Source organism: Homo sapiens, chromosome 16 (genome assembly GCF_000001405.40).
Source record: "Homo sapiens chromosome 16, GRCh38.p14 Primary Assembly".
Lineage (NCBI taxonomy): Eukaryota > Metazoa > Chordata > Mammalia > Primates > Hominidae > Homo > Homo sapiens.
The window spans coordinates 86,978,392-86,998,680 of NC_000016.10; the positions used below are offsets into that span (position 1 = coordinate 86,978,392).

Sequence of the window (20,289 nt, forward strand, 5' to 3'; positions counted from 1 at the left end):
CTCTGTCTCCCTGAGTCTCCAGCATTGGGGTCTGTTCTCACCGTCCCCATCCTCTCCAGGCTGGGAACCCAGCAGTCAACACAAGTGGGATCCACCAGCCTCCCTGGGTGGCTTAAGCAAACAGCTTTCATCTTGCACGCGACCCAGGGCGAGGCAGGAAGGCCCTAGAGGAGCGTGGTACAGGAGGATCCTACGCTGAGATGAGCAGGCAAGGCATGCACGGGGCTGGGCCTCATGGCCTGAGGCAGACCCCTCTCAAAGCCCAGGGGAGCCCGAGGCACGGAAAGCCCGGGCCTTCAGGATCTGCTCCAGCAAGAAGGAAGTGGGTTGGAGAGGGAGGCCTGGCAGGCAGGCAAGGCCCTGAAGCATGAGGCAACTTCTGAAAGCATGAGGCTGTGACTGTAACCATGCAGCAGCCAGGAAGCTGGAGGCCCAGATGTGGGATGTGAGATGAGGGCAGGGCTGGGCTGGGCAAGACTGTAGAGCCCAGGTGAGCAGCATGGCCATCCTGGGCTTCCCTTAACACGAGGGCTGGGATTGAGCAAGGGATGGGCGGGCTGCTTAGGGACCAGAAATGCCCTTGGTTATAGGGTCAAGGGGCCCAGGCTATCCCCCCAGGCCCCGCCCCACCCTTCTCATGGCTCTTTGTATGATCTCTGGGGCTCCATCGAGTGCTGTGCAAAGCTCTGGGAAAGAGGACCACCGGGGTGGTGCATCCTAATCCGAGGTGCCAACTTGGCTGGGTCATGGTACCCAGATACTTAGTCAAACACATCTAGATGTTGCTGTGAAGTTATTGTTTTAGATAAGATGAGCATTTAAATCAGTAGGCTTTCAGAAAAGCAAGTTACCCTCCACAATCTGGGTGGGCTTCACCCAATCAGTTGAAGGTCTTAAGAGAAAAGGACCGACCTCCTCCAAGGAAGAGAGAATTCTGCCAGCAGACGGCTTTCAGAGTCCACGTACAACAGCAACTCTTCCCCAATTCACCAGCCTGCTGGCCTATCTCGAAGATTTTGGACTTGGTAACCTCCACAATCACATCAGCCAATTCCTTTACATAAATGAATAAGCAAATAAATTTATATTTACATATAGATTTGTATATATCCTATAGAGTGTGAACCCCATATATCCGAGACAGGTCTCAGTTAATTTAGAAAGTTTATTTTGCCCACGTTGAGGACGCGCGTCCATGACACAGCCTCAGGAGGTCCTGACGACATGTACCCAAGGTGGTTGGGGCACAGCCTGGTTTTATACATTTTAGGGAGACATGAGACATCAGTCAATATATGTAAGATACATATTGGTTTGGTCTGGAAAGGCAGTGGGAGGGGGCTTCCAGGTCATAGGTGGATGAGAGACAAATGGTTGCATTCTACTGAGTTTCCAATCAGCCTTTCCAAAGGAGGCAGTCAGATATGTATTTATGTCAGTGAGAAAAGGGGTGACTTTTAATAAAATGAGAGGCAAGTTTGCCCAAAGCAGTTCCCAGCTTGACTTTCCCTTTTAGCTTGGTGATTTTGGGGACCCAAGATTTTTCCTTTCACAAGAGATAGATAAAAATAACAGAGTAAGATAGAGATAGATAAAAAGTGGGGGGGGGGGAGAAAGAGAAACTAATGGATGACAGATGGTGGCTGATGGATAGGTAGACAGATGATAGATAGATAGATAGATAGGTAGATAGATAGATAGTTAGATGATGGATGGGTAGGTAGAAAGAAAAAGGATGGATAGATTGATTTATAGGTAATTGGATGGATGATAGATAGATGAATAGATTGATGGATGGGTGGGTAGATGGATGGTTGGATAGAGAGATAGATAATGGATTATGAATAGATAGGTAGGAAGAGAGAAATAGATAGATAGAAAGAAATGGTTGGGAAGATTGATGGGTAGTTTGATTGATGGATGGATAGAGAGATGGATAGATTGATGGATGGATGACAGATGGATAGACTGATGGATGGATAGATAGATGGATAAATAGATGATAGAGGGATAGATAGAAGATAGATCATAGACGAATAGATTGATAGATGGATGATGGATAGATAGGTGGATACATGGATAGATATATAGATAGAAGACTGATGGATAGAAGATAGATGATAGATGGGTAGATAGAAGATAGATAGATACATGCATGGATAGATGGATGTGGGGGGGGAGAGAGAGAGAGAGAGAGAGTGATCCTCCTATTGGTTCCGTTTCTCTGGGGAGCCGTGACTGACACTGTTGTGAAAGCTTCAGGGCATTTGTTGGAGCTGCAGAAAGAGGCAGAAGAGAAGCTTTATAGCAAGAAGACAACAGTGGGCTTGGGGTGGCTGCAGAGCTGAAACCCCTTGCAAGGTCAGACAAGACCTAAGGGGGTGTGCCACCTCGCTGTGACCTCCTGCTACTGGGCAGCAGCTGGCGGCTCACTGTCCAAAGTGACCACTTGCCTGCCGCTGGGTCTGAGGACCTGACAGTGCCGGGCACACAGCAGGTGTTCAGTAAGTGTGTTGGCAAGTGGATGACGGTCGCCCTCAGGTCTGAGTCTCCAGGGTGGACCTTGCTGTGCTTCCCACAGCTCCCACACACTTCTGGGCACACACTGTTACTCAGTGAGTTTTGGTTTTGTGCCCTTTTCTTAGTTTAGGGTTCATCTGGGTAATTCATTTCTTTGAAATGCATTATAAATATACATATTCATGACAGCAGGGGATTTAACATTATTTATTAATATTATTTAATTTTAGAAGGATCACATGAAAAGCTCTAATATTGTTCCTGACACATGGACATGATGTATTTATTTATTTTTTATTTATTTATTTTTTAGACAGAGTTTCGCTCTGTCACTCAGGCTGGAGTGCAATGGTATGATCTCACCTGACTGCAACCTCTGCCTCCCAGATTCAAGTGATTCTCCTGCCTCAACCCCCCAAGTAGCTGTGATTATAGGCACCCATCACCAAGCCCAGCTAATTTTTGCATTTTTAATAGAGACGGGGTTTTGCATGTTGACCAGGCTGGTCTTGAACTCCTTACCTCAAGTGATCCACCCGCCTTGGTGTCCCAAAATGCTGGGATTACAGGCATGAGCCACTGCTCCTGGCTTAATCTTTTAAACGTGTTTTCCTTAGAAGTTTCATGGAATGAAATGTCAAATAGCCAAGCAGTAAAGAGAGCCGCCCTCAAATAAGTTGTTTAAAATCTCTGTACCCGCTAGAAGCAACAGTGTGGATGGACCGCTCATTCGGCTGAGAAAGAAGAGCGCATTCTATACAGCCCCGCTACATCCAAGTCAAGAAACCGTGAGGCTGGTGGCGGGGCGCAGTGTCTCACGCCTGTAATCCCAGCACTTTGGGAGGTCGAGGCCGGTGGATCACGAGGTCAGGAGATTGAGACCATCCTGGCTAACACGGTGAAACCCCGTCTCTACTAAAAATACAAAAAAAAATTAGCTGGGCGTGGTGGCGGGCGCCCGTAGTCCCAGCTACTCAGGAGGCTGAAGCAGGAGAATGGCTTGAACCCAGGAGGCGGAGCTTGCAGTGAGCCAAGATTGCACCACTGCACTCTAGCCTGGGCAACAGAGCAAGACGAAAGAAAGGAAAGAAAGAAAGAAAAGAAAGGAAAGGAAGGAAAGAAAGAGAGAAAGAAGGAAAGAAAGAAAGAAAGAAAGAAAGAAAGAAAGAAAGAAAGAAAGAAAGAAAGAAAGAAAGAAAGAAAAAAGGAAGGAAAGAAGGAAGGAGAAAGAAAAAGAAGAAAGAAAGAAAAGGAAAGAAAGGAAAGAAAGGAAGAAAGAAAGAAAAAGAAAGAAAGAAAAAGAAAAAGAAAGAAAGAAAGAAAGAAAGAAAGAAAGAAAGAGAAAGAAAGAACGAAAGAAAGAGAGGCTGATCTATAGTGGCAGAATCAGATGGAAGCACCTCCCGTGGAAGGGGCACCGTCCACTGGGGAAGCGCCCTGCATGCACTGGCCTGGGTGACAGCTGCATGCAGGTGGGGGATGCTGGAAAAGCCCCTGCGTGGCACCCTGGGGTGAGTGCTCCCCACTGCATGTGACTCAGTAAAAATTAAAGACCAGGCTTATCCTAAAATGGATATTAGATAACAAAGGATTGAAACGATTTTAATATTTTTTTTTTTCTTTGGAGACAGAGTCTCGCTCTGCCACCCAGGCTGGAGTGCAGTGGTGTGATCATGGCTCACTGCAGCCTCCACCTCCCCGGTTCACGCCATTCTCCTGTCTCAGCCTCCCGAGTAGCTGTGATTACAGGCACCCACTGCCATGCCCGGCTAATTTTTGTATTTTTAGTAAACACTGGGTTTAACCATGTTGGCCAGGCTGGTTTTGGACTCCTGGCCTCACCGGATCTGCCTACCTCAGCCTCCCAAAGTTCTGGGATTATGGGCATGAGCCACTGCACCCAGCCAATTTTAATAATTTTTAATGGGAAAGGCATCTCCACAATTCTGAAGTCTAAATGATTTAAAAGGTCTAGATTCAGAAACTTTGTCCCCTTCTGTCCCCCACCTCCTGGCTTCCTCAGGCGAAGCTGTGCACACAGCTCCCAGCCCGGTCAACGTGCAGCCCCACTCTCCTTCTCAAGCAAATACTTGTGGCGCACTCAGCTACTGTTCATTACTGTGCTTTTCCACTCAGTAGCCTGGTCTGGGAGCCTCCACGTCAGTACACAGAGTGCTTCTGCAGCCTTTGATGGACATGAGTTTGCACCAGAGCAGCTGCAGAGGTGAGACGTCGGTTCTCCACGTCGCCCTCCGTCTGCATCACATCTGGGTGAGACCTGTGTCTTTCCTCTACTGTGTTACATACACGTTTCTCGCAACTTAAAATTTGGAACTAATATGTGTGGCAGCCTGTACACAAGCACAGGTCAGGACTGGACTTCTCAAGAGTTTGTTGAGGCCCAGCGTGGTGGCTCACTCCTGCAATCCCAGCACTTTGGGTGGCCAAGGCGGAAGGATTGCTTGAGCTCAGGAGTTCAAGACCAGCCTGGGCAACATGGTGAAATCCCACCTCTACAAAAAAATCACAAAAATTAGCCGGGCATGGTGACATGCACCTGTAGTCCTAGCTACTCAGAAGGCTGAGGTGGGAGGATCACCTGAGCATGGGGAGGTCGGGGCTGCAGTGAGCCATGATCACACCACTGCATGCCAGCCTGGGCAACAGAGTGAGACCTCATCTCAAAAAAAAAAAAAAAGAGTTTGTTGAGGCTGAGGTAGAGGCTGGGGTAATCTTAAGGGTAAGGCCTGGGGGTAAAATTTGGGGGGTAGAACCTAGAGGAGAGGCTAAGAGTGGAGGCTAGGGGAGGGAAGCAGGGGTGGAGGCTGGGGGTGAAGGCTGGGAGGAGGCTGAGAGTGGAGGCTGGAAGAGATTGGAGGTAGAGGCTGGGGTGGAGGCTGGGAGGAGACTGAGAGTGGAGGCTTGGAGTGAAGGCTGGGGAGTTTGGAGGTGGAGGCTGAGGGTGGAGGCTGGAGGTAGAACTTGAGGGATGGAAGCTGAGGGTGGAGGCTGGGGGTGGAGGCTGGGAGTTGAGGTGAGGTTGAGGGCTATGGACTCAGATCTATGTTTGATTGCAACCCTGCCTTCATCAAGGGGCTCACCTTCTCTCACTTAACAGATTCCTCATCTATAAAATTGTACTGATAATACTCAGCTTTCGGATGTTACGCAAATCAAACAAGATAACATATATCATTATCCACTGAAGCCTGAGGGTTCCTCCTGGAACCCTCACCTCAAGCGCAGAATATGAACAAGCACGGGTTAAGGGACCGGTATGCACGGACTTGAGGAGTCTACGTTTCCATCACCTTACCAACAACAAGAAAAAGGAATTCCGAGGGGCTTGCTATGCACCTACCATTATCAACTCCACTTATAAACATTCTGCTTTTTATCCTCCTTCTATTGGTTGGGGAAATTGAGGCACAGAGATAGTGAGTAATTTGCTGCAGGTCAGGGAGCAAGTGAGGGCAGAGCCAGGGTCTGAGCGGGACAGTCTGGCTCCAAGCTGTGCCCTGGGCCCTGGGTCGTCCGGCGTGGATGCACACCCAGGGAACTTGATCATAAAAGCCAGTCGTGAATTATCTGGCGACAGACCGATGGGGGTATCATTGGGATGCAGAATCCATCTCTTTTACAACTGTCCTGACGTGTTTATAGATCCATGCATCTGATGGGGGCAGGGGAAGGCGGCCTAGAGTCCTCTGGGCCACCCCTAGCTCTGTGCAGGGCTGAGTCCAGCCACTGCCAGAAAATGAGGAAAAACCATCCATGTTGAACGATTTTCATGAAAGCAGGTTCCAGAGCTGATCTTTGGCACATGGGCCACCCCTGACGTTGGAGGCCTTTAAAATATGGCCCAGAAAGCAAAGCAGAAAGTGGCCAGAAAGGAAAAGTCTCCATCTCAAATCTCCTATCGCTCAGACTCCCCTGAACTTGGGTCCCGCATCCACGTTGCCACTTCTGATGGGCTGTCTTCCCAGAGCACACAAATTGTCAGCTAGGAGCACTTTGGGGAAGCCCCCGACCTGTAAAAGCCACTGGGATGTTCACCCCACCCAGCGTTCCCTCCAGAGCCATCCAGCGCCTGGGCCTGCCCTGAAAATCAGGAAAGAGGAGGAGAAATGGAAGTGGGGAGCAGCATTTCTAAGACCCCCAGGCTGCACCCTGCTGGGCCACGGACCTGTCTGTCTCTGCTGACGATGCCCAGGCTGGATGACTATTTATAGAAGTGGAGGAATGTCCAATGACCGCATCTGGAAGCGATCGAGGGAGGGCTGAGCAGCCGTCAGAGCCTGGCACCCACTGGATGACACCCCAGTGGGCCGTCACCAAGAGTGGCTGAAAAACCAGGGTGTAGCCACCTCCCTCCAAGGGCCTCCAGGGCAACTGTCACTGCTTTGAAAGGACATTCTGTGCTGGTTGGAGGGACGGTTCCACTGGGTGAAGAGGCAATTACCTGCCATAATTATGCAAGCTTCTAATCACGGCATGGTGGCTAATTACTTACAAATTGCTCAGGCAGTAAATCCCCAGGCAGAAAGGCCCCCTGCCCTTGGAATGTGGGCTGGTTCCTGAGAGAAGGGGTGGCTTGCTGCGGGTGGCCCAGCCTTGCCCTTGCCCCAAAGGCTCTCTGAACAGCCTCTGGAAACACTGAGAATGTGGCAGACAACAGGCCTGTAGGAGACTGGCCACAGCATCGCACTTGCTTCTTCAAGGCGTGGGGGCACTGGGCCTCCAAGCTCTGCCTCCTGTTCTCAGTGTGAGGCCCTGGACTTCCCGGCACAGGAAGTTTTTCCATGCACGCCTCTTCTTGCTCTTCTTGTAGCAAGAAGACAACAGTGGGCCTGGGGCGGCTGCAGGGCTGAAACCCCTTGCAGGGTTGGACAAGACCTAAGGGGGTGTGCCACCTCGCTGTGACCTCCTGCTACTGGGCAGCAGCTGGCTGCTCACTGTCCAAAGTGACCACTTGCCTGCCGCTGGGTCCAAGGACCTGACAGTACCTGGCACACAGTAGGTGCTCAGTAGGTGTGTTGGCGAGCGGATGACGGCCGCCCTCAGGTCTGAGTCTCCAGGGCGGACCACGCTGTGCTTCCCACGGCTCCTGCACACTTCTGGGCACACGTTGTCACTCAGTGTGTTTTGGCTTTGGGCCCTTTTTAGTTTAGGTTTCATCTGGGTAATTCGTTTCTTTGAAATGCATTATAAATATACATATTCATGACAGCAGGGGATTTAACATTATTTATTAATATTATTTAATATTGAAAGGATCCCATGAAAAACTCTAACACGGTTTTTGACACATGGACGGGTGGGTGTGCCCTTTCCAGCCCTGAAGAGGTGGTCAGGTCCACAAGCTGGGGGTCACGCACCAGAGCTCCAGGCAGCCTACAGGAGATGCAGTTCCCACCTGAGACCACCAGGCCAGAATCTGCAGCTTCGCAGGAGCCCCGGTGCGTTGTGGAGACAGCTCCCTAGACCCTCTTCTGCGGCCATGGTCCTAATTTTCAGAAGATGTGTGTTCATTAAAAAACAAGAATACCCTGCTATGGTGTCTCCTCACACTGGATTATTTACATTCATTGAGGATAAGGGAACTGACTCCTAGCCTGGGAGCTCCAGGAGGGAGAATCTGGGTGTTGACCGCTATATCCTGGGTCCTAGAACTATGCCTGGTACACGGTAGCAGCTCGATAAATATCGGATGACTGTGTGCACTGACCAATGCCCACTTCTTTTAAGGGTCAATATCAACTTTCGGAATAATCCCACTTTTGTTTTTAAAACGTGTAAGTGTGCTATTGGCTGTGTGTGTGCTCAGAGGGAAAGGTCTGACTTCCTATGAGCATAGGCCACTCTGGGAATGTTTCTTAAATATTGTTTTCTTTCCATCGCTTACTAACACAATGTTGAACCACGAGAGTAGAGTACTCCCAACAGGCCACTCCCAGATCAGGGAGGGGAGGGGAGGGGGGGGAGGGGGGAGGGGAGGGGAGGGGGAGGGGAGGGGAGGGGAGGGGAGGGGGAGGGGAGGGGAGGGGGAGGGGAGGGGAGGGGGAGGGGGAGCAGGACCCTGCTGTTCAAGTCGCATCTTTAGAGCTGCGTGAAGTACCCAGTTCCTGGCCCCAGCCCCCTCCTCTGAACGCCTACGGATGTCATTACCTGTGAAGTTCCCTGCACTAAATCCTGCCCTGTCTCCTGTGTGTGCCGTGTCCCTGTGCTTGAAACCCAGCTCCCAGAGAAGCCCCCAGGAAGGGCGGAGCCTTTTCTCCTCATATTTGGCCCCCTCCTGCCCACCCCAGGCCTTGCGCATTGTGTCGGCAGCTGACACCCCCAAGCATCTCCATTTCAGGGGTCAGACGACAAGAAGCCTTCCCTCTGGTACCCCGGGGGCATATGCAGGCTGAGGGCATACGCAGGCTGAGGGCATACGCAAGCTGAAGGCATATACGCAGGCTGAAGGCACATACGCAGGCTGAGGGCATATGCAGGCTGAGGGCATACGCAGGCTGAGGGCGGGGTCCCAAAACCCAGTGGCTTTTAAGTTTCACTCTGGCCTAATCACCATTTAACCAGTCCAAACTTCAGTTTTCTCCTCTCCTCTGGGAAACGGGAATAAAGCATTACAGGACAATGCATGTACAGAGTTGAACAGGATCTCCCCAAAATTCACAGCCTCCTCAAACCTCAGAATGGGGCCTTCTTTGGAAATAGGTTCTCTGCAGGTGTGAGTTAGGATGAGGTCATACTGGACTAGGGTGGGCGCTAAACCCAATGACTTGTGTCCTTACAAGAGGAGAGAGACACAGAGACACACAGAGGAGAGGCCGGTGAAGACAGTCAGGGATTGGAGCCATGCGGCCACAAGCCAAGGGGTGCCTGGAGCCACCAGCAGCTGCAAGAGTCAGGAAAGACCCTCCTCTGGAGCCTTTAGCCCCTGCCCACACTGAGAAGTCTGGCCCCAGAACCAAGAGAGAAAGTGCTCCTGCTGTTGTGCGCCCTCGAGCCGTGGTTGTTAGGACAGCCGAGGAACCCGCGACCGTGCCCGGAGACCTGCGTGTGGAGGGCTGCTGCTGGTGCCCACTCACAGGCTGTCACCCTCAGGGAGCTTCCATCCCCCCAGGGTGTCCCCTTTGCCTCCAGGCACCTGTCACTGCACAAGAGGACCACAGACAAAAGTGAAAGGAACAGGGGCACAGTGGCTTGGGGCCGTCTTCTCATCCACCCGGGCCTGCACCACAGTTGCCCTGTGCACCTTTGTCCCCCGCACTGGCCACAGCTCCGCAGCAGCCCTGGCTCTGGCAGTCCAGGGAGAAGCTCTAAGAGAAAGTGTCCCCAGCAAAGAGCAGGGACACACAGAGCAGAGACATGCACGGTGCACCGGCCGTTGTGTCGCCCCGTTGTTTGGAGAGCAGGACCTTGTTCACCCCTGGAGCCCAGATACAGATGTGTAGGGTCTGGGGCTGGCCCTAATTAACTTAGGGAGGCCACGTACACTTGACCGAACTGCGGAGGTCATCGGCAAACCCGAGTTGCCCCTGTGCTATTTTTAGCCTTGAGGGCCACGTGGTGAGACCCAGCTTTGCCACGGCTGGGACGGTGGAGGAAGGGGGCTCAGCGAAAGAGGGTGAGGGGAAGGAATGACAGAGTGCAAGAGGCTCCACCAGAAGAGGCCTGTGCCAGCCCACAAGGCCTGGGCCTTCGCTATGGCATCTCCACACACGGGATCCAGATGCTTGCACCATTGCTGTGGGGTGGGGTCAGCGCTGGCACCAGCTAAGAGTTAGAGAAACTGAGGCCCAGAGTGGCAAAATGTGTGAGGGGCCCAGGGAAGGAGAACGTTTGCCCTCCAGAGCCTCTCGCTGTAGGAGGATCACGTCTGAGGGGATGTGAGGGCTCCGGTGCCTTGCAGAGTGGAAAAGTCCTCAGGGTGAGAAGATTCTGGGAAGCCCGTACCGCCGGGAAGAGCGGGAGTTTCCACACAGGGCAGGTGGTGGAGGGGTTAGAGGTGCCCTGAGCGCACATCCCACTCCATTACTTCCGGCTGTGAACCCTTGGACAAGTGGCTTGGCAGGCGGTGGCTTCCTACCTCAGCTGTGAAGTGGGGCAAAATGCTATGACACAGGTGACGTGCGTGACGCACCATCCAGAGTGCTGCTGCTGCTCTGCGGGGCTCCTGTGACACCCCGACCTCCCCCGGCCCCCGGCACTGGGGGCAGGTCTTGATAGAGGCAGAGCTGCGCTGTGTAACTGGTGGCCTCGCAAAGATGTCCCAAGAGAGGGCGGCCCCCAGGTTGGCTGTAGGGTGAGCCCCAGGAGGAAGGGGAGGCGGAGGTGAGGGCAGGCGTGGTCGGTTCTGAGGCTGCAGAATCCCACGCACAGCATCACAGCCTTGGCAGGTCGTGAGCACAGGGAGACGGGAGTTTCATGGAGCTCTGATTACAGGGAGATAGGGCTTTCCGATGGCTTCCAACAGCCCCCTTTGTGGGATTAGTATTTATTACGCCCCAAATTAGCTGGCAAGAGGGCCGGCTTCTGTGGAGACATTTAGCAGAGCCTTGAAGCGTAATGTTCCTTTTATTGCTCCATAAACACAGCCCTCGCTCTCTCCCTCCTCTCCCTCTGGCTCAGCCCTCAGTCCTGTCTCTTTAAGCCCTTTAAACCTTTAACCAGAGACTAATTGGTCAGAGTAATAACAAATCCCTTTCAACTCTGTTCTTCCAGAGCCCTGGCCTGAAGGTATCAGAGGTGGCAAGACCTAGAAAAGCCCCAGTACGAGTCAGGCTGCCTTCTGCAGGCAGAACCACTTGCGTGTTCTATGAAACACTGGATCGCTTGATGCCCTGGCTGAGAAAGAGCTTCACTGTAGAGTAAGGGGGAGAAAGCCATTACACAGCGTATTGTCACTGCTGCATGTATATTGTACACTGAACACTTTTAAGGGGAGCCATTTTATCCTTATCTCTGTGAATGACACCTGGAGCTGTGCAGTGCACAACCTGTGCAACCTCACATAGCACCCCATTTTTACAGATATGAGGTAAAATAAAAATGCAAAGGTACACATCCAATGTTAGAAGTGGCATATTAATGGTGATTTTTGTTTTCTTCTCTGAGCTTTCCCTGCATTTTCCAATGGTTTTTCTATAGTGAAGAGGCTTGCAAAACACGCCAGGCCCAGTTGCAAGTGCCTAGTATGTATTAATTCTGTTAAGATACACAACAATTTTATAAGGTAGGCAGCAGTAGAATCCCCACCTCACAGATGGGAACTCCGAGGTGCCAAGACATCATGAAACTTGTCCAAGGAGCTACCAGGAGACCCAGCTGGCCACCGCCAGCTCTGCATTTTCAATCACCAATGTTCACGTGCCTCCCAGTTGCAAAGAATCCTTCCTTCATAAACTTGTTCTGGTTCTATATTGTCTTGAATGTACTCACTAGAAGAGATAAATACCTGTTTGGCATTTGTATGAGTCTGTTTTCACACTGCTATGAATAACTCCCTGAGACTGGGTCATTTATGAAGAAAAGGGGTTTACACAATGCACAGTTCTGCAGACTTAACAGGAAGCATGGCTGGGAGGCCTCAGGAAACTTAGAATTGTAGTGGAAGGCAAAGAGAAAGCAAGCACATCTTACCACGGCAGAGCAGGAGAGAGAGAGCATGAAGCGGGAGGTGCCACACACTTTTAAGCTATCAGATCTCACGTGAACTCACTATCGCGAGAATTCCCTCACTATCACTAGAACAGCCTGGGGGAAATCCACCCCATGATCCAATCACCTCCCATCAGGTCCGTCGCCGGACACGTGGGCATTACAATTCAACCTGAGGTTTGGGTGGGGACACAGTCAAACCACATCAGCATTTATTAACTGAGGCTTGAGATGAGGCCACAGAGAAAGGAAGTCACAGTAACTCTGTTCCTTCCGAGAAAATGGTGAAGGAACCTTTCATCTGCCTACTTTGGGAAGGGGGTTCACCACGCACATCTCCCAGGGGATGGCTCTTGTGAAGGTGAGGGGGCTGCTGCAGCCTCAGAAACTGAGTGGTGAAAATTTCAGGCATTGAGCCAAAAGTGTGGGAGAAATTTTTTTTTTTATCAGAATCTCACCTTTTCACTCCCAAATGAAGTGAAATGTTTATTTTCAATGACCCAGCCAAATTCCACTTCTAGTGCCTCAGTGGGCACCCTCTATCCTGATCCTGGCACTTGCTGTTCTCTCACTCTAACCCTTTGCTCCTCACCACACTGTTCTCTGGCAGGTTTTCTCCCTATCAGTCAATTACACTCTAGCAAGAATTTCAGATGATGCCCAGCCTTTTCCAGGGACCTAACTCTTTATGGAACAGTTAAGTTCTTGAGACTCACCACACTGTTCCCTGGCAAGTTTTTTCCCCTATCAGTCATTTACACTCTTGCAAGAATTTTGGATGATGCCCTGCCTTTCCCGGGGACCTAACTCTTTATTGAACAGTTAAATCCTTGAGAAATCTCAGTGGGTAAGCAAGGAGGCTCTTGAATGGGAATACGGCATTTTTCTAATGACCTAGAAATCAACTGGTTAGGCATCGCTGAAAAAAGTTAGGAAAATCATGATATCCTAAATTTTAGGAACAGAAAAAACATTGGAGATAATTTAATGAAGCCCATTACTTTAGATACAAGAAAAAAAATGAGACACAGGAAGAAAAGTATTTTATGCAAGACACACGGCGAGTCAGTCTATGACCAAAATGATGGGTCGGGCTCAAACTTAATCTTCCAGCCCTGGCTTCACAAGAAAGGGGAATACAGGCATTTGAGGAAGACACCCATGCCCCCACATTGACTCAAGCCCTAAGATGTGAAAACACCAAGAGATTCGCTATAGATATCGGATGTGAAGAATCACAGGGTGTATCCACCTAACTCCCCTGCTTTATAGATGGGAAAGCTGAGGTGCAGAGAGAGTGAATCACACCAGCTGTCATTTACTGCACACTTGTTAGTCACCAGGCACCGTGCTCACTGTAAACATACTTGCAATTAGTCTGCATTACAACCTCCTAACGTGGGGAGAGATTTGGGGAATGCAGGGTTAAAGAAATGTAAACAGGTTTTGCTATTGATTTTGACTGCAGGACTTTTTAGAGCCTTGAATATGCTTGTGCTTATGTGCACCGCGAATCTCTAAGAAACAGATAGAGGAGGCTGGATTTCCCCAAGTGATGGGGCAAGGGAAGATCTTTTCATGGAGCATCACCTGGGACACATTCTGGTTGTAGATTTGAACCACATATATCATTGCAAGACAACATTTGTTCAAATGCCCAATGAATGGTTCAGGCTGCAAGTGCTCTGAATTCCAAAGACAGGAGGGGTCACCTTGCATTTATCCACCACTGAGTAAATGTGTTGAGGGCTCCTTCTAGTGCAGGGCATGAAGGTTTTGCCAGAGTGGGGTGTGCACGCGACGAAAAGGGAAATGGGCATGCTAGACATTGCCAATGAGCACAAATGCAAGGTTCCCTCTGCCCTGGCCACAAGGAAGACTGTGCTTTTCAGCTCTCCCGTCACTAGAGAGAGTCTCCCATGAGTGGCTCGGGGTGGGCTGTCAGCACGGTAACGTACCTGGGCCATCCCCAGACTCAGCCATAAAAGAGCGTGCAGGACTGTCTTACTCTCAAGTTTGTGTGCTTTCTCCCCTCTCTGGCAAGTGTGAAAGCGTCATGTTGGGAAGACAGAGCAATGAGAGGGAATCAGCCTGGACCACTGAGTCACCATGCCGAGGACAGTTGCCCTGGTGGGCTGCCTGAAACTGCAGTGGGCTTGGCATGAGTGAGAGTTGGATTTCTGTTGTGTTACCTACTGCGATTTGGGGGCTGTTTGTTAGGGCGGCATAGCATAGCAGAGCCTCACTGCTACAGAAAGACTTGGCTAAGTGGTGAATCACACATGACTCTTCCCTTGCAGAGCTCATGGTTTAGTAGGGCAGATGAGATCTATGTGTAAAAAACTGTAACAGAGGCTGGGTGGTGGGCCTCAGGGCTTGCCCGATTTCAGAGCCAGCCCTGGAGAAGTTGCACCAATCGAGCAAAGACTTGAAAGAGAGCATGACCCAGGAGAGTGAATGTCATTCCAGCTGGAAGGAACAGCATGAGCAAAGATCCAGAGGCCAGAAATTAAGGGGCGTGATGAGTTTGTCAGAGTTGAGGATGTGGGAAGAGAAATGGGAGAAAATAAGGCTAGAAAACACCACTGGCCCCAAGATCATGAAGGGCCTCACATTTCAGATAAAGGAGTTTGGATGCATTTCTACATACTAGCGTTTCTCCAGGAAACCTGAGTCTCGTAATACACACCTAGAAGGTAAGAGCTTCATCATGAAGACATTTAGAAAAAGCTACACCCCCCACTTCCTTCTTAATATGATGTTAACAGAGTCAAGCCTCTGAGAAGTCCTGCAGTAAGGAATCCAACTAGATTTGCTTAATGCAGCATTTCTCAGCCCTGTTGGAGCAGGAGCTCTTTTTTGACATACTTGGGGAAACATTGATGAGCAGAAGGATTTATAAGCGGGAAGATGGCAGGAGACAGGCCTGTGAGGCGGGGAGATTCATCAGCAGCAAGGAGACAGACAGGACAGCCGCTGCCAGCTCACATCCACCCCCTACCCCCCACCACCCACCTCAGCTGGCCTCGCCGCAGCCAGGCGGACCAGTCCATGCAGGCTCCAGCCCCTCCGTGCTGGCTCATTGTGCCACAAGCACAGGCCGCTGGTCTCCAGTCCTTCCCAGAACTTCTCCAGTGCCGTGAGGCTGAGGAAGCCCCTCGGGCCTTCCACATCACCGCAGGGAAGTGGGGAGTCAGCGCTTGACCCATGAAGGGACGAGATCCATAGATAAGTACTCCTTTTGGGCAGACAATTCTAGGAGGTGTTCTGTGCACGTCTTAGGAGGTCACGGTGGGACTGCACCCCGTGCCCCAGCAGCGACGTCAATCGCACAGCCTGCTCCTCCTGACTTGCCACTGAACCCATGCGCCCTGGACAACCTCCCAAGGAACCCACCACTGCTCCACGGGCAAGTTGCCGGCTGCCTTTGGGGAGCCCAAGATAAGAGCAGGGGTGGATTAGAAGGATGGTGGGGGAACGAAAGCCACGTGTGGGACAAAAGACGATCATGAAAGCTCGTCTAGACCCAGGAAGGAAACCTAAGTGTCCAGATGAACACCGCTCCACAGAGAAGTGGCAGCAGAGCAGCGGACGGCAGAAACCACGCCTTGCCGAGCTCCCACGGGGCCAGAATCTACCCCACAATTCGGCTTCATCTTAATCTACTAAGCCTCCCTGCAAAGACTTTTATCACTTCTTTGATTTTACAAATTTGGAAACTAAGGCTCAGAGAAGTGTGGTTTTACCTCTGAAACACGCAACTTCCCACCCACCCAAAATGAGTGATGGAGAAAGAACCAACAGGATTGGGCAACTGTTGGATGTTGAGCAAGAGGGAGAGAAGAGTTGACTCGGAGGTTGGTATACTCCAAGAAGGCTTCCTGGAGGAAGTGGACAATTCAGAACACAGGACCCTTTATCCAAATCAAATACAAATAGGGAACACTATTATTAAGTATTATCTCCTATCTCTGTAAAAAGCCTTGTGGCCAGGGGGTGTTCTGGAAATGCTAGTTAATTTCTGGTTAAATATTGGATCCCTGGGAGTTCTTTAAAGGCTCGTTTACCCAGCCTGGAAGTTAAGCCTGTAACTTAAACGCATTGTCAAAACCAGGAAACATTTACCCCCCAGTCCAGACCACAGCTGAGTCATTGGCCAGGAGAAGCTCAGTCTGTGTGCAGAGAGCTGGAGATTATCTCATCTTCCAGGCACTTGTAGACATCCAATCTGGACAAATCATGTCCCACTCCCAAGAATCTGCAAGAAATGGCCTGATGTGTCTCCCACAGAACAGCCGATGATGATAACTCATTGTCACTCGAGCCAGTGGGCAGATAATGACCCCGCTGACAGGGTCCAGCCTGCTGCTCCGCCCCAGCAGACATGCTCCAACAATGGCTTCATCATCCTCCCCACCGGGACTGTGTAGATGAGGGAGGTGCCTCCCGCGGTGCAGGCTGTGAGCTCTAAGCAGTCACGCTGGACGCTGGACCAGTGCCCTGGGCTGCTCCTCCCTGCAGCCCCACGAGCCCAGGTAGGGATCACCAGAGGTCGTTTCACTCCCAAGTGGAGTGATAAGTCAGTCCTTCTACAGGAAGATTTCTCACAAAGTGCCCTACTGCACTGTCAAAGGGTAAAAAGGAGAAAAAAAATAATAAAGCCAGAGGCAAGGGCTCCAGGCAAGAGCAAGATGACAATATTTGTACAGCGGGGTTTGGAGAGGAGCCCCCGTGAGAGCCCAGCGTCTGAGAGAGCCAGTCCTTTGAACTGTCCCACCCTTTGTTATGACAAGAGACTTGATAAGCCCACCCAGCACAGAGACCCTTAGAATCCAGGCATATGGACTCCATTAATCTGCCCTTGCACCTTTTAAGTACTTTGCAGCTCCTGCCGCCCACAAAATCCAAGCAGAGTGAGAGTCGCAGGGTTAATTTTCTTAAATGGATTTTAGTCAGGCAAGCCCCGGATTTCTTTGGAGGGCAGAAGTTGACAGCTCACTGCTGGCCCCAATCTGTCCTTGGGGTAATGACGTCTGCCGCCCCTCAGCATGGGGACCAGATGCGGTCAAGGTGGTGGAAGCAGCAAGCAATGGGAAAGCCCAGCCAGCTTAGGCAACCCAGCACGGGGGAAGGCAAGGCGGTGGCTGGGGGACCGCGCCCTGGGTTGCATCCCCGCGTACCACTGGCCGGCTGTGTGCAAGGTCAGACACACACCTTAGATCCTGTGCCCGTTTCCCCTTCTGAAATCAGAAGCCACCATCGCTCCTCTGCCCTGCTGTGAGGAGGATCGTGAGTTACAATGTGTAAAGCGATGATAACAGTTCATGCCATTAACAAGCGCTCAACCAAGATGTGCCGACTGGGTGAGGGAATGAGAAACAACAGCAACCTTCAAAGCAAGAATGAGCATCAAGACAGCACGCGCCACTGTGCTGAGAGCTTTAGATGTGGTCTTTCCAGCCTTCCCAACCATCCTTCTTGAGATTCTAGGGGCTAGTAATGCAGATGCCTCCACCAGACTCCAACAATGCCTTCACATTGAGGTGAGCATCCAAACCCAAACTCCCGCCAACAGGGTTGGGGAAGCTTCCGGGGATGCCGGGTGGGGAAAGGTTTTCCCCCTTCATGAAGGGAGGCTCCTGTAGAGGAATGGCTCTCCTGCCTGGAGGGGCTCTGGTGGGGGATGAAGCCTGGGGTTATGGACACAACCGTATTACATTCACTAGAAGCTGGAAACGACTGGGCGTGGGTGGCAGCGAGAGGGACAAGTATTGAAGTCCCAGGCCACATCTGCGATGGCCGGGCTAGCCTACCTTGCAGCTCCTTGTTTTCCAAAAGGACGTGATTCTGCCCCATTTCACCCAGCCAGCCAACACTTGGGACTATGGAGAGGGCCATGGGGGAGGCGAGTGCCAGCCAGGCAAGGATAGTACAGAGACCCACAGGTCACTCACTCATTCACTCCTCAAGTAATGCCTATCAAGCACTTTCTACATACCAGATTCCTTCCAGGGGGAAGGGGACTTTTTCTGAGGCGTGCAGCTTCTCAAGCTGGTATTTAGGTGACTGGCCATGTGCACAGACTTGAGGCCACATGGGGCCCCGGTACCGTTCATCTGCACCATAACTCAATGAAGTAGGGCCGGCATTGAGAAAAGTGGAATTTGAGACATTTAAACAGGTTTTTCCATTTGTTTTCACCACAGGACTTGTCAGAGCCTGGAATGTGCCTGTGTGCATGGAGACTCTCCTGGGTGGGTGGCCAAGAGCACGGCACTGGGGCTCTCCGGCCTCCGTGCCCTCATCTTTAGAGTGGGGATGGAAGGAGTAGCCACCTCCGAAGTCTTAGAGGTTGAGCATTCAGTGAGATAAGCCTCCGAACCATTTGACACAGTGGTGGCACGTGATCAGTGTCAACCCCGAGAGCCGTGCTGATGTCCGCTCCTCCTCTCCTCCCTGAGCACCTCTGCTCCGCGGAGAAAACACCTGCACCAGATCACAGAGGCAACTAGTGTTTCGGTCAGAAAGACAGCGAGCTCCCTGTGGGTCACGCGCTCTGTGGCCTCGTGCTTATCTGTCCTTAGACCCCCACTAGTCAGCTGCTCTAGGCTAATCTCTAGACATCTGAGGCCAGCCCACTCGGGGGGCTAGCTGAGCCCCCTCACCATGAGTGGGTGAACCCTCTAATGAATACCCCTCCACAGTGCCGTGCCCGCCTCTGCCTCCCCGGGACACAGCCCTCTCCCTCCTGGCCTTCAAGGGGCGGCTTCGGTGCACACACTCCTTATTTGTCCTCTTTTTATCTGCTTGGCCACATTCATTTAGAAAAAAAAATGATCTCAGCTCTCAAGACATGCTGTAAGGAGGATAGTCCCTGGCCCGCTCTGCAGTAAATGTCACAGAACACACTTCCCTTGACCACTAAGGCGACCGAAGCCACTCTCCAAGAGCCAGAGACACCTGACCGGCTCCCACCCTGCGAGTGGACTGATGAGACCCTGAGGGAGGTCCCTGTCCTTCCTCCTGGAGGGAGCCAGCAGTGTATGGGGAAGCAAATGGCTCTGTATTTGCTATGAAATGACCGACCTGGACCTCAGTAGTTGCTTTTGAATTCTGCTTTATACACCTCTCTTAAGATTTTTTTTTCTTGTGTTAATACAATAGCACAGGTATGGGCCAGATGCGGTGCCTTACACCTGTAATCCCAGACTTTGGGAGGCTGAGGTAGGTGAAACTCAAGAGTTCGAGACCAGCCTGGGAAACATGGCAAAACCCCATCTCTACCAAAAATACAAAAAATTAGCCAGGCATCGTGGCACATACTTATAGTCCCAGCTACTAAGGAGGCTGAGATAGGAGGATGGCTTGAACCCAGGAGGCGGAGGTTGCAGTGAGCAGAGATCACGCCACTGCACTGCAGCCTGGATGACAGAGTGAGACCCTGTCTCAGGGAAAAAAAAAAAAAAAAAAGCATGGGGGAAGAAGGGAAGAAAGTTACCCAGTTTCCCCAGAGAAATTATTATTTGACAAAAAACGTTTAACACTTAGCAATCTTGGAGTTTCTTTAACTTCATTTATAAATGAGACCCCTGGGTTGAATACTTGAGGTCTGCATGTGACAAGTGCCCAGATGAATTTTATCCAGTTCTTGGTGGCGTGGAAAAAGTATTAACGGGCAAGAGGAACCCAGCTGCGATCACCAAGGCGTTTGGATCTTGCCCATCACGGCTGAAGTGAGGCCTCGCCTTGGAAGCTGGAGTCGGGTGTCCTGGTCTGGAAGCTTTGGATTTCCAGGGAGGCTCTCAGGCACCCTGACCGCCCCTGCGTGGCGCTGCCCAACCAGCAAGGAGAGCTGCTGCCCAAGGAGTCCCAGGGCCCAGGGACGGCCTCCTGCCCCATTCCTGCCCGAGGAGCTGGCTTGGGGTGGTTGCTGCTGCTGCAGCCATGTTGTCATCACTGCTGCTGTATGGTGGGGGTGTGGTGTTGTGTGCGTGTTGGCATTGTTGTGGCCACTTTGCAGTGTTGTTCCCACTGTGTTGTGTGATTGTGGCTGCTATGTTGCTGTTGTGCTTTTCTTGATCATGATGCGTTGCTGGCATTCTC

At 51.3% G+C, this 20,289-nt stretch overlaps 2 annotated features.

Annotated features, from left to right (window-relative positions):
- Positions 330 to 830: an enhancer, noted in NCBI's record as "H3K4me1 hESC enhancer chr16:87012327-87012827 (GRCh37/hg19 assembly coordinates)". NCBI's record gives its function as "activates a minimal SCP1, AML or CMV promoter by ChIP-STARR-seq in primed H9 embryonic stem cells {active_cell/tissue: H9 hESC(primed)}" and the evidence as "EXISTENCE:reporter gene assay evidence [ECO:0000049][PMID:30033119]".
- Positions 1,954 to 2,455: an enhancer, noted in NCBI's record as "H3K4me1 hESC enhancer chr16:87013951-87014452 (GRCh37/hg19 assembly coordinates)". NCBI's record gives its function as "activates a minimal SCP1, AML or CMV promoter by ChIP-STARR-seq in naive H9 embryonic stem cells {active_cell/tissue: H9 hESC(naive)}" and the evidence as "EXISTENCE:reporter gene assay evidence [ECO:0000049][PMID:30033119]".